General features: G+C 41.3%; 1 protein-coding gene across 10 annotated transcripts in view, besides 2 other annotated features; it reads right to left on the reverse strand.

The window, feature by feature from the left end:
* SPIRE1 (spire type actin nucleation factor 1) overlaps window positions 1–14,581 on the reverse strand; it is a 215,580-nt gene that overhangs the window by 196,202 nt on the left and 4,797 nt on the right. For 3 of the 10 annotated variants that reach the window (NM_001394324.1, NM_001128627.1, XM_024451224.2), the window contains exon 1: window positions 13,938–14,019. The exons of 6 other annotated variants lie outside the window; for them this stretch is intronic. The gene's annotated coding sequence lies outside the window, so the exon portion shown is untranslated. Of the gene's footprint in view, window positions 1–10,287; window positions 10,313–13,937; window positions 14,020–14,581 lie in introns of those variants that run through there. One more of the 10 variants, XM_011525702.2, reaches the window with a different exon arrangement.
* Window positions 4,854–5,678: an enhancer, noted in NCBI's record as "OCT4-NANOG hESC enhancer chr18:12647566-12648390 (GRCh37/hg19 assembly coordinates)". NCBI's record gives its function as "activates a minimal SCP1, AML or CMV promoter by ChIP-STARR-seq in primed H9 embryonic stem cells {active_cell/tissue: H9 hESC(primed)}" and the evidence as "EXISTENCE:reporter gene assay evidence [ECO:0000049][PMID:30033119]".
* Window positions 8,856–9,439: an enhancer, noted in NCBI's record as "NANOG hESC enhancer chr18:12651568-12652151 (GRCh37/hg19 assembly coordinates)". NCBI's record gives its function as "activates a minimal SCP1, AML or CMV promoter by ChIP-STARR-seq in primed H9 embryonic stem cells {active_cell/tissue: H9 hESC(primed)}" and the evidence as "EXISTENCE:reporter gene assay evidence [ECO:0000049][PMID:30033119]".

Consider the following 14,581-nt stretch of genomic DNA (forward strand, 5'->3'; position numbering starts at 1 on the left):
TGAGAACACATGGACACAGGGAGGGAAACAACACACACCAGGGCCTGTCAGGGATGGCAGGGGAAAGGGGAGGAAGAGCATTAGGACAAATATGTAATGCCTGTGGGGCTTAAAACCTAGATCACGGGTTGACAGGTGCAGCAAACCAGCATGGCACATGTATACCTATGTAACAAACCTGCACATTCTGCACATGTATCCTGGAACTTAAAGTAAAATTTTAAAAAAGAAGAAGAAATGCTGCCATAGGAATAGAAGACATAATATTTGTATTTAAAGAATAGTACTGTATTCATAAGTATAATAAAAATGTGTAACTTACAAAACTCATTACAAAAAGATATTTCTTGACTATGTATAGTATATGTAGTAAAGGATAAATAGCTAAAAATGTTTATAGTATAAACATTTTTAAATGTTTATACATAAATAGCTAAAAATGTTTATAGCCTGGAGCCACATTTCTGACACTCCTGTGTTAGAAGACAAGGACAATGAAAGTCAAAGTACTCTTTGTAAACTGGGTTGATTTGGATTAAACTTTTCCCTAGTAACAGCAATTCAAACATTGCTTAAACTTCACAAGCTCAAAAATACATAGACATATCACTAGATTTTAGGAATGAGAACTTGGAGGGGAACCTCCCCAAGCCAAATCATAAACAGAGTTCTAGCAGGTGACAATCCCAAATGTTCTACTATTCCCTATCAATTGAAGAGTTCTGGTTTTCATGCATTTCATACACACATCTGTGTCCATTCTCTTTAGAATCTCCTGCCCCTCTGTGGCATCTGAGTATGAGACAACCTAGCCAACAAGAGCCCTGCAGAGAAGCATCCCAGGAACTTCTATCTTCCAAGCCCTAATTCCCTTTAGTTATATCACAACTCTACCAGCCATATCCACTTACCCAAATGTGTTACTTTCCCTCTGTCAAGATTTGGGAGATCTGATTTAAAAACTATAAAAACAACATAGGCTTGACATAGACTACACTTTGCCATTTTTAGCTATTTAACCTTTACTATAAACATTTTTAGCTATTTAACCTTTACTACATATACTATATATAGTCAAGAAATATTTTTGTAATGAGTTTTGTAAGTTACACATTTTTATTATACTTATGAATACAGTACTATTCTTTAAATATAAATATAATGAAAAGATCATTAATTAAAGAAGAAAGTCAAGCTGAGCACTGTGACTCACATCTATAATCCCAGCACTTTGGAAGGCTGGGGGTGGGGGCGCGAATCATTTGAGGTCAGGAGTTTGAGACCAGCCTGGCCAACATGGTGAAACCCTGTCTCAACCAAAAAAAAAAAAAAAAAATTAGCTGGGCATGATGGCACATGCCTGTAGTCTCAGCTACTTGGGAGGCTGAGGAGGGAGAATCGCTTGAACACAGGAGGCGGAGGTTGCAGTGAGTTGAGATCGAGCCACTGCACTCCAGCCTAGGTGACAGAGGGAAACTCCATCTCAAAAAAAAAAAAAAAAAAGGTCAGGGTTAGGGGGCAACTATCATTAATTTAAGGAACTTAACAATTTCCCATCAAAAACATTTAAGTTTATACACATCAGGCAATACAACAGTTCAAATATTTCATCTAAACTATGGCTTATCTTATAGGTCTCAGATGAAATGTGTTCCAAGAGTTTATAGGGAAAGTTATAGTTACATTGTTTTATTATTTACATAAATAAGCCCTCCTATACTCCCCAAAGGATTGAAAGAAGCTAAATTAAATGATCAATAAATGAGTATCAAACAAGTCAGAAAGTGGCAAAAGAAGGAAAAAAACAAATTCAAGATAATATAAAATATATGGAAATCCATAAAAAATATAAACGGTGGTCAAGCACTAATTACCTTTCCCTGATAATCTGCAAGTAACCCTCCATAGTCCATTCTAAAAACCTGGTGGAGCACCTAAGGCAACAAAGGTCTAATCACATGGACACCCACATTTCAAATTTTTTCAACCTCAAGAATCATTTTATAGACTTCCAAACATATATTTAATATTGTTTTAGAACTTCTTTATCAATCTTGACTCAAATAATTTGGAAGTATTCATCTTTTTACAAAGGATAGCAATGGCTCAGTAAAAATGTATTTGTGCAGTACATACAAGGTAACAAAATGCCCCCACATATATTTCTTCATTTGAGTCTCATAACAATTTCACAAGAAGGGCTGGACAAATATTACTTCCATTTTACAAATAAAGAAAGAGAGCGGCCGGGCACCATGGCTCACACATGTACATGTAACCCCAGTACTTTGGGAGGCCAAGGCAGGTAGATGTCTTGAGCCCAGGAGTTCAAGACCAGCCTGGGGAACCTGGCAAAACCTGGTCTCCACACACACATACAAAAGAATAAAAGAAAAAAAAAAATAAGACAGTATCAGCATCAGAAATAGTTAAATGGCTTGCCTGAGGTCATAACTATTCAATAGTAAGCATCAGAGCCAAAAGAATTGAAACTGCATCTTCTGTAGCCAGCTCTTAGTTCTCTCCATGTTATGGTGTGACATTCAACAGCTGATTTGCAACTATCTGGAAGGCAGCAAAGGAGCTTGGTGGGAATCAACATGACTCCACAGGAAAAAATATTTTCCAGGCCAATTTAATTTCCAACAAGTATAAACCATCATCTATCTTCCCACCCTAACCTGCCCCTCCTGCCTACCCTGTCACCCAAGCACCCAGGCAAGAAGTCAGAGCCTTTGAACAATCCTTCCTCTTTCTCACCCACACATAAAAAGTGGAAGAGCTATACCATGTCCTATTTCCTAAATCACTCTCAATCTGATTCTTTCTCTCCATTCCTACTGCCCTAATTCAGACCTCCATCATCTCCTGTTTGAACAGCCATAACACTCCTAACTGGTTTAGCAACTTAAAGGCTACAAAGATCTAAAGATATATAAAATGCCTACTGGTGTCTATGCCCTCCATTTTACCCAATTCAATACATCTACAAAGCCCCTACATTTATCTTTCTAAAAAGAGTAATCTGCTTACATCATTTTCCTGCTTAAAACCCTTCCATAGCTCTCCACTGCCTGTACAGACTATAAATACACACTCGACCATGTGGCTGGCACAAAGTCCTTCATCATCTGATCCCAGCCAACGTGCCTTTCCAGCCCTTCTGACTCCGACTCCCACACACATCCTCCGCTCCAGGCACAGGGAACACCCACTACAAAGAAGACAAACAGGTTTAACCTCACGTGCCAACTCCAAATAATTAGTAGTGGCCACCTGAAGCATCCTGTTGAGAACTCTTGGGGCTGCTTACGAATTCGGCAGCAAAAAATGCGGTAACTGATTAGCAGTTATATGCTTTTGGCATGGGGAAGTGGGTGGCAGCACAACGCCACACTTGCCATCCATGTACTGCTGCTCTCTGAGTACCATATAACGTCCTCCACATCTCCAAGCCTTTCCACTTGCTGCTGCTGCTGCTGCCTCACATAGTCTTCCTTTTAGGCTACAGCCCCATCCTGGAGACCTCCAGAAACCAGATCTCCTCTGTAACACTCGCCTACTGTCACCAGGCAGGGTCAGCCACTCTCTTCTCTGGGCTCTCATAGTTTTCTAAACATCTTTATTATTTTAAAATTATTGCACTGTACTGTGTTAGTTTCTCCATCTATGAGCTTCTTGAAGGTATGAGTGCAGTTTATCCCTCTTTGTATCGTCAACATCTGGCACAGTGCACTTAGAAGGCACTCAAATATTGGTGAAATGAATACATGAAATCAGGTAATGGGAATATCGCTAACATGGTATTTTCACTAAAAATCCAGGAAGACATGACCAAACCCTGGGACCAGGCAACCTATAGGGATTGTTAGTGACATTCTAGCACTACCCTCCAATTATCTCTATTTATATTTTTATCTCTCCGAAATACAAGATATTAAAGGAGTATATTAGGTAGGAACTTAACTTCTAATTAAATTAAGGGATGGGAGAGAAAATGGGAAATATGACAGAAAAAGACCACAGACTTAATTTAAAAAAATGTATTAGGCCCGGCGCAGTGGTTCACACCTGTAATCCCAGCACTTTGGGAGACGGAGGCGTGTGGATCACTTGAAATCTGGAGTTTGAGACCAGCCTGATCAACATAGTGAAACTCTGTCTCTGCTAAAAATACAAAATTAGCCAGGCGTGGTGGTGCATGCCTGTAATCTCAGCTACCATGGAGGCTGAGGCAGGAGAATCACTTGAACCCAGAAGGTGGAGGCTGCAGTTAGCCAAGATCGCAGGATTGCCCTCCAGCCTGGGCAACAAGAGCAAAACTCTGACTCAAAAAAAAAAAAAAAAGCATTAGCACAATTAGTATAAAAAGACCTAAGAGTCACAGTTTTCAGAAGCCAGCAGTTTGGTATTATTAGGAATATAAACCCTCCATATACCTAATCGAATCCTTTTTAAATTTATACTAATGTCTCATATCAGTTTTAATTTTAAAAGTTTGTGAGATACAATCACTTTGGAAAATTTCTGGCAATATCTACTTATGCTGACCATACATCATGAATTAGCAATTGCACTTTTAGAAACATATTCAACAAAAATGCTACATTTGTTCACCAAAAGACACGTGCAGTAATGTTCACAGTGGCATTATTCATACTATCCAGTAAGTCGATATTTGAAACCCAAATATCCATCTAGAGTTTGAACATCAAAAATAAACTCTTTAACATTTCTTCTTCTATATTAAAAACAGGCCAGGTGCAGTGGATCACACCTGTAATCCCACCACTGTGGGAAGCTGAGGCAGGAAGATCACTTGAATGGGGTTCAAGACCAGCCTGGGCAATATAGTGAGAGACCCTGTCTCTACAAAAAAATAACAAAAAAATTAGCCAGGAGTGGTGGTGTGCATTTATAGTCCCAGCTACTCAGGAGGCTGAGGTGGAAGGATCACCTGTACCCAGAAGTTCAAAGTTACAGAGAGCTATGATCACATCACTGCACTCCTGCCTGGGCAACAGAGCAAAACTACAACTTTAAAAAATAAATAAAAACAAAACAATAAGCAACAAGCATACCCAGTGCTAAGATCATGGTTTCTAAACACCATTCTCCAATAAAAGAAACAAGAGCTCCCTGGAAATATGGGTGACTCTAGGGCTGGGGCAGGAAATATATAAGATGATCCTTGAAACATCTTGCAGTGCCAGAAAGCAAGGACGTGCTCCACCAGACAGAAGGAGGGCTGCATATCAAAGGAACCCAGGAGCCAAGCCTAAGGAGCAATCAATGGCCACAGCGGGAACAATCTGAGCAACAAAACAACCAAAGTACAAAATACATGTCAATCCAGACTGATATAAACAAATGATTGAATATATAAGTAAATGGAGGAGAAGGCACAAATCTTCTTCACAGAATTCAAAATAACTCTAAGAAGATATTCACGTCTCCAGGAGGTGGTTTAATTACCTGGCCCTATCCTTGAACGCAGGCTGGAATTAATGACTCCTTTCTAAAGAACAACATATTAAAAAAAGGTAAAAATAGTAACTTTTTAGTGGAGAAACCTGACAACACTGTCTTAATCAAGTGTCCAGGTTATCGTAGCCAGTGATGTCACATGGTTATCATGTGCCCCAACATGATGTGATCAGGGGGAGCCCTTCACCTCGCTGGTATTCTTCCCCCAAAACTATAACCCAGTCTAGCCATAAAAATACCAGGCAAGTCCAAATGGAGGGACATTTTACAAAATAGCTGACCAGTACTTGCCAAGACTGTCAAGATCATGATAAACTGTCACAGACCAGAAGAAACTAAGGAGATATGATGACTAAATGCAATATGGTATCTCGAATGGGATTTCTGCAATAGAAAAAGGACACTAAGGCCAAGCACAGTGGCTCACGCCTGTAATCCCAGCACTTTGGGAGGCCGAGGCGGACAGATCACCTGAGGTCAGGAGTTTGAGACCAGCCTGACCAACATGGAGAAACTCCGTCTCTACTAAAAATACAAAATTACCCAGGTGTGGTGGCAGGTGCCTGTAAATCCCAGCTACTCGGGAGGCTGAGGCAGGAGAATCCCTTGAACCCAGGAGGTAGAGGTTATGGTGAGCCAAGATCGCGCCATTGCACTCCAGCCTGGACAAGAAGAGCGAAACTCCGTCTCAAAAAAAAAAAAAAAAAAAAAGAAAAAGGACATTAATAGAAAAACTGGGGAAACCCAAATGAAGTCTGGAGTTTAGTTAATAGCAATGCATCAATGTTGTTTTTTCAGTTTTGACAAATATACCACAAGAATATAAAATGTTAACATTTAGGGGAACTGGGTGAGGGGCAAATAAGAATTATCTGCATTCTCTTTTCAACTTTTCTGTAAATCTAAAATTATCCCAAAATAAAAAGTTTGGTCAGGCACAGTGGCTCGCACCTGCAATTTCAGCACTTTGTGAGACTGAGGCAGGTGGATCATTTGAGGTCAGGAGTTCAAGAGCAGTCTGGGCAACATTTTTCTCCACTAAAAAATAAAAATAAAAAATTAGCCAGAAGTGGCAGCACACACCTGTGGTCCCAGCTACATGGGAGGCTGAGGTAGGAAGACTGCTTGAATCCAGGAGCCGGGGGCTGCAGCGAGCTATGATCATACTACTGCACTCCAGCCTGAGCAAGAGAGAAAGACCCTGTCTCTTAAAAAAAAATTTTTTTGACTAAAAATTCCCACTACATTTGGTAACTCAATATTTCCTTCATAGTTTTAAACAAATATCTGAAAGAAGTTATTTTCCTTTTTTCTACTTAGCCAACAAGAAGTAAAAGGGAAATACATACAGCTCTAATGACACTGTTATGAAAGCAGGATGAGAACTGCTGTTATTTTATAGGACCAATGATACAGGAGAGTGAATCTGACCTTCCATATATAACAAGCAGAGTGCAACTCATCATCTCTTATCAACATATAGTCCTTGGTAGCTCAATGATTTTTTTCTTCTAAAGTTTAGTCAAAACTCTTAGTGAGGCCAATGGTTTCCTAAGAGTCCTAACTTACTTGAGGACTAATATCTGTAGATGACTAAATTCTTTCTACTGTTTCCCTCTGCAAAAGTAGAAACACAGATACAAAACCACAAATACATTATTCCAAAATTTCTCCCCAAAACTCTTGTGACCCCTCTCTTATAACCCAACACACGTAGAAATATATTGCATGGTAAATTGGAACCAAAAGTGACAGTAGGTCAGGCTTGGTGGCTCACGCCTGTAATCCCAGCACTTTGGGAGACCAAGGCAGGCAGATACTTGAGGCCCAGAGTTTGAGACCAGCATGATCAATATGGAAAAACCCTGTCTCTACTAAAAATACAAAAATTAGCCAGGCGCAGCGGCATGTGCATGTAATCCCAGCTATTTGGGAGGCTGAGGTGCGAGAATTGCTTGAACCTGGGAGGCGAAGGTTGCAGTGACCCGAGCTCGTGCCACTGCACTCCAGCCTGGGCAACAGACTAAGACTCTGTCTCAAAAAAAATAAATAAACAAATAAATAAAAGTGACAGCAGGCCAGGCATGGTGGCTCATGCCTGCAATTCCAGCACTTTGGTAGGCCAACGTGGGCAAATCACTTGAGCCCAGAAGTTCCAAACAAAACTAGGCAACATGGCAAAATCTCTGTCTCTAAAAAACGATATAAAAATTACCCAGGCATGGGCCAGGTGGTAGTGGTGGCTCACATCTATAATCCCAGCACTTTGGGAGGCCGAGGTGGGTGGATCATGAGGTCAGGAGTTCGAGACCATCCTGGCTAATATGGTGAAACCCCGTCTCTACTAAAAATACAAAAAATTAGCTGGGCGTGATGGCACGTGCCTGTAGTCCCAGCTACTCGGGAGGCTGAGGCAGGAGAATCGCTTGAACCCGGGAGGCAGAGGTTGCAGTAAGCCAAGATCACGCCGCTGCACTCCAGCCTGGTGACAGAGCAAGACTCCATCTCAGGAAAAAAAAAAAAAAAAAATTACCCAGGCATGGTGACACATGCCTGTAGTCCCAGCTACTCGGGAGGCTGAGGTGGGAGGATTGCTTGAATCTGGGAGGTCAAAGCTGCAGTGAGCCGATCAAACCACTGCACTACAGCCTGGGTGACAAAGCGAGACCCTGTCTCAAAAAAAAAAAAAAAAAAAGTGATAGCAATCTTATCCAATTACAGCTAAAATCTTAATTTTGCAAATGAACATCTAAACTTACTGTTAAGGCTCCTCCCACTCACTTAGAAGGGGCCTGTGTAAATGAAGGGACTTGAAGTTTAAGCTGCATTAGATTCATGGTAAATTCACCACTGTGTTTCTGTTTTATTTTCTCTTCTTTAATGACTAGAACTATTTGCCCTTACATCACCCATGTAAAACTAGAACACTACTTGTACATAGTAGGAACTCAAAGCATATTTGTTAGATTGAATTAACCTGACATATTTGAACTTATTATTCAAAGAGAACAATTTTTATCTATTACTGTAACTGATAAGGCATTTCACCAATCTCTAATTCTACCATTCACCCCCACTACCTACTCTGGAAACCTACACATATACTTCATATATTCCTTTCCTTTAATGATCAGGATGGGAACACAAGAAATACAGAAAGAGCAGACCAAAAAAAATGTTTTTAAACATTTTTTTGCTGGGTGCGGTGGCTCACGCCTGTAATCCCAGCACTTTGGGAGGCTGAGGTGGGTGGATCACAAGGTCAGGAGATGTAGACCATTCTGGACAACATGGTGAAACCCGTGTCTACTAAAAATACAAAAATTAGCCGAGCATGGTGGCGGGCGCCTGTAGTCCCAGCTACTCAGGAGGCTGAGGCAGGAGAATCGCTTGAACCCAGGAAGCGGAGGCTGCAGTGAGCCGAGATCACGCCACTGCCTCCAGCCTGAGCAACAGAGCGAGACTCCATCTCAAAAAAACAAAAACAAAAAAAACATATTTTTTCACTATTTCAACCTTTTCCACAAATATTCTCTCTTTAAAATCAAATAGGATTTTATGCCAAGACGATCTTCCCCTCCAAATTAGCATGAACCTTGCTGAGAAGCTTGACTGATCGTATCCTCTTTTCAAAACCCAAACAAAGCCTGAATGTTCCCTATACCAAGAAACCATTCTCAAGGGATCCCTTTATTAGTATGCACACAGGCATTCATTGTTCCTTTCAGGAAAACCTTCTACCAACCTTAAGATTATTTTAAATCAACATATGGCCATAATTTTTAAACGATTCTTTATACATCTAAACTAAAGGTACATCAAAAATTTTGAAACCAAAAGTTAAAATAAATGATTGTTGTCAGACGGGTATTTAAGTCCTGAAAGACTGTGAGACCACACATGATTCTAATCTCTAAAACTACTGCTATTAATAATTCTTTGTGGCATGCCAGAAAAGCAAATGCTTTTTAACCATGTGAAGATCTAGACTATAACCTAAACTGCATCAGTTACTACCTTCTAAAGACCCTGTATACCAAAATGTGCTCTAATTGCTAGTCAGGTATACTTATGAGTATACAAAGAGCCTGCGTGTCTTTAACCCCTTAATTAAGCGTGTGAAAGTTAAAACTTCATCAACTTGTACCTAATAAACTTTCCCAAACAACAAAGTCTTATTATTACTACAACTGCATAAACACTGGAGAAAATAAAATGTTAAATAAGCCACCAAACAAGAATCATAAACTCTCTTGATTCTAAGCAATCTATCCTCCTGTCATCACAGAAATACTTCTTAACCATACTGCTCATTTTAGGACGTTATACATAATTTAATCTTTTTACTTTCAAGAGATCCTCTAAAGAGCTAGTCTTTCCTTTTTCTTGAATTTATCTTCTTGGGTCCTATATCACACTACTTTTATGGCCATGCTAGCAATTTGGCTCTAAGTTTTACCTGAATGCTAAATAAACTCACTAATTCTTCATTTTTTTCCTTCATTGGTCTCCAGCCTCTGACACATTTCAACATTTTTCTGTTTTTCTTATAGCATATTTCTATTTATTTCATTCAAACTGAATCTAACCATTCTCAGATGTATCAATACTGTTAAAAGTAAACAAGAATTAAAATCAATTACTACCACATTCAGTCCCCTAAAAAGTCAGTAAAGCCTATGAAGTACTATTTCTTCTAAAAGGACTAAATGGAGTGATACTGCTGGTACTGGCAAGAACCAGTACGACTCATTCAGCTCAACAACAGAGTGACAATGGCCTGTAGAAGGATTCACTCACTTGAGGATTACAGCCAGAATCCACTTCTCTACCCTGAACACAATCCTGGGCACCACCTGCTAGAGCAGTGGTTCTCAACTGGGATGATTTTGCACCCTAGGGAACATCTGGCAATGGACAGAGACTTTTTTAATGTCACAATTGCAGGGGAGGGGCCTACTGGCATCCAGTGTTAGAGATCAGATCACGGATGCTGCACAGAACAGCCACCACAACAAAGTATTACTCAGCCAAAAATGCCGACAGTGCCAGTTAAGAAACTCTGACCTTGACATTTACCCCAATTCTTGGTAAAAACATAAAACAGATGGACTAGAGACAGTATAGTGGTGAGAAAGGACCACAGGATTAGAGGAAGAAGGAAACTAAAACCTACTGAGTACCTGCTATACAGCAAGTCTTGCCACTTGACATATATTATCCTCACTTATGCCCCAATCCTGTGAAAACAACAATATATTCTGATTTTACACAGAAGGCTAGACTCAGGGTGATTGGGGAACTTACTCACTGTCACTTATCTAAGGGGAAGAATCACAAAACAAATTCAAACCAAATGTTTCATTCCACAACACTACTAAGCCTAGACACTAAAAGACCAAGATTTGATTCAAAGAGTTACTAATCACTTAACTTCCCTAAACGTCCATTTAGAAAATATATCAGGCCGGGCGTGGTGGCTTACACCTGTAATCCCAGCACTTTGGGAGGCCAAGGCTGGTGGATCACTGAGGTCGGGAGTTCGTGACCAGCCTGGGCAACATGGGGAAACCCCGTCTCTACTAAAAATACAAAATTAGCCAGGCGTGGTAGTGCATGTCTGGAATCCCAGCTACTCGGGAGGCTGAGGCAGGAGAATCTCTTGAACCCGGGAGGCGGAAGTGGCAGTGAGCCAAGATTGCGCCATTGCACTCCAGCCTGGGCAACAAGAGCAAAACTCCGTCTCAAAAAAAAAAAAGAAAGAAAGAAACAGAAATCAATGGATGTGAAAACATAAACGTTGCAGATTGCTAACTACATATAATCATGATAAATACAATGAAAAAGAAAGTGTGGCCAGGCACCGTGGCTCACTTCTGTAATCCCAGCACTGTGGGAGGCTGAGGCGGGTGGATCACCTGAGGTCAGGAGTTTGAGACCAGCTCAGCCAACATGGTGAAAACCCTTCTCTACTAAAAATACAAAAATTAGCTGGGCATGGTGGTACACACCTGTAATCCCAGCTACTTGGGAGGCTGAGGTAGGAGAATTGCTTGAACCCTGGAGGCGGAGGTTGCAGTCAGCCGAGACTGCACCACTGCACTCCAGCCTGGGCGACAAAGTGAGACTCCACCTCAAAAAAAAAAAAAAAAAAAAAAAAATTTGGCTGGGCACGGTGGCTCACGCCTGTAATCCCAGCACTTTGGGAGGCCGAGACGGGCGGATCACGAGGTCAGGAGATCGAGACCATCCTGGCTAACATGGTGAAACCCCGTCTCTACTAAAAATACAAAAAAATTAGCCAGGCATGGTGGCAGGCATCTTTAGTCCCAGCTACTCGGGAGGCTGAGGTAGGAGAATGGCATGCACCTGGGAGGCGGAGCTTGCAAGCTTGCAGTGAGCTGAGATCGCGCCACCACACTCCAGCCTGGGCGACTGAGCGAGACTCCGTCTCAAAAAAAAAAAAATTATTTTTACTTATTTTCCCCAACTCTTCCCTACAATGGAAGTCTCATGAATACAAACGTTCCTTAAAACTGAAACGAGAAGTCAGGCGCAGTGGCTCACGCCTGCAATCCCAGCACTTTGGGAGGCCGAGGCAGGCGGATCATGAGGTCAAGAGATCAAGACCATCCTGGCCAACATGGCGAAACCCCATTTCTACCAAAAATACAAAAATTAGCTGGGCGTGGTGGCATGCGCCTATAGTCCCAGCTGCTCGGGAGGCTGAGGCAAGAGAATCACTTGAACTCAGGAGGCAGAGGTTGCAGTGAGCCAAGACTGTTCTACAGCACTCCAGCCTGGCAACAGAGGGAGACTCCATCTCAAAAAAAAAAAGAAAGAAAGAAAAGAAAAGAAAAAGAAAAGAGAGACTGGGCAAGGTGGGTTACACCTGTAACCCCAGCACTTTAGCAGGCCAAGGCAGTTGGATCACTTAAGCCCAGGAGTTCCAGGCTGCAATGAGCTATGACTACAGCACTGCACTCCAGCCTTCAGCAGCCTGGGCAATACAGCAAGACCCTGTCAAAAAAAAAAAAGAAGAAAAGAAAAAGAGAGAGAGAGAGAGAAAGAGAAAGAAATAAAGCGAAAGAAAGAAGGAAGGAATAGAATTTTTAAGTGTGCACACCACCAAATTATTCATCAAGTGTAAGAATCAAGATAAAATCTTCAGAAGACTGTATCTTCCTGAGCCACGCAACTATTCTTAAAGCCAATGAGGAAATAAACTAATGTTTTAGTATGAACTTCTTAAATAATTTTAGGCAACAGAAAATGCTCAAGTCTCTATCAACAACTTTGATTAGGCCTCCTCCATAACTGGTAGCGCAGGTCATGAGCAGAACTGAGAAAGAGAATTATAAACCTATTGCGAATTGTGGAGAACAACTCCACTCACTATTTTCTCCATAAAGGCAGTTTATTACACTGAGATCAACATGTTATCACTCACACTAGTGATGTAAAAAATAATCCAATTCAACATAAGATTCAGACCAAAAAAAAAGAAAAAACCCATCCACGAGAATCTATCAATCTTTGACAACAAAACTACACGATTTTGGGATTAAATTTAAGTGACAAGACAATGTAAACTGGGGGCTTGTTCTCTCCGGAAATCACCACTACCAACGCTGCTTCTAAAAGCAGGCTGCACACAACCATTTTTCCTCTGGAAATAGCTAAATCCCAAGGCACGATATTGCTGTATTTTTTTTTGAGACGGCGTCTCGCTCTGTCACCCAGGCTGGAGTGCAGTGGCGCGATCTCAGCTCACTACAGCCTCCACCTCCCAGGTTCAAGCAATTCTCCCACCTCAGCCTCCCGAGTAGCTGGTATTCCAGCGGCACAACACCACGCCCGGCTAATTTTTGTATTTTTAATAGAGACGGGGTTTCACCATGTTGGCCAGGCTGGTCTCGAACTCCTGACCTCAGGTGATCCACCTGCCTCGGCATCCCAAAGTGCTGGGATTACAGGCTTGAGCCACCGCACCTGGCAGACATTGCTGTATTTTATAAATGTATCTTTTGTACCATTTAATACACTATAAATTATAATTGCAAGTATTTCCCACTAAGATTAAGTCCAAGTTTAAAAGCAATAAGCCCATCAAAGAAACAAAAATACTATTTGAAATAGTTTCAAAAGAACAATTAAAAAGATGGCTTTAAATAAAAAATCGTTTACCTGACGCTAAAAAATAAAAGATAAAAGCATGTAAATAAAAATGTGTTTACCTGACACTAAAAAATAAAAGATAAAAACGTTCTGGTGGAACTGAAAGAATAACTATAACCTTGAATATTGTTTTAATCAAGTTAGACAAGGGTTTTCATTAAATGTCATTTTACTAATTCGAAATTACATCTTTCACCTTAAGCATTTTGACATTTCCATCAACTTTCTAAAAGTGAGGGTAGATTGTTTTTCTATGTTTTTAATAGACTTGCCTCTCAAAAGAATGAATTAGATAAAAACTGATGGGAGAAACCTTTTCTCAACCTCCTCCTCCTCTTCAATGAGCATCTGAGTAAACCCTGGCTATAAATTACTGTTTAGGTCATAATCCTGAAAATTTTACATTAGACAATGACGTAACTAAGGCCCATTTTCTCTTTGTATCCCGACATCCTGTCAACTTTTCACTTTACAAGCCTGTTTTTCATCACAACAAATTTTCACATACAGGAATGCAATCAGTATTTTCTAACGTCCAGGAGCCAAAAATCACTATTTAGTCTATTTTTCCATTTCTCCCCAAAGAGCAGAATTCTCACGGTTCAGAATCATCTTTACATTTCCGAACCGAGGAAAGGCTGTCTAATGTGGAATACTGCTAGTTTCCCGTGAGGAGTGCGGTGTTTCCGACAGCGGCACTGAGGATCCGTGCGGAGCCCCCGCGTGAAGCCTGCGATGCCCTCCCCACCCCGTGAACCCGGCCGTGTGTCAGCAGCCACGGCGTGAGGCGCACAGGCCGCTGGCCCGGAGCAGGGCCCAGCCCACCGCTCCCAAACGCGCCGCGGGCAGCTGTCCCGCGGGCAGCACAATGACGAGCGCCCCGCGGCCCGCAGGCCCAGGCCCACCCAAACGTCCT

Source organism: Homo sapiens, chromosome 18, assembly GCF_000001405.40.
Source record: "Homo sapiens chromosome 18, GRCh38.p14 Primary Assembly".
In the NCBI taxonomy this organism is placed as follows: Eukaryota; Metazoa; Chordata; class Mammalia; order Primates; family Hominidae; genus Homo; species Homo sapiens.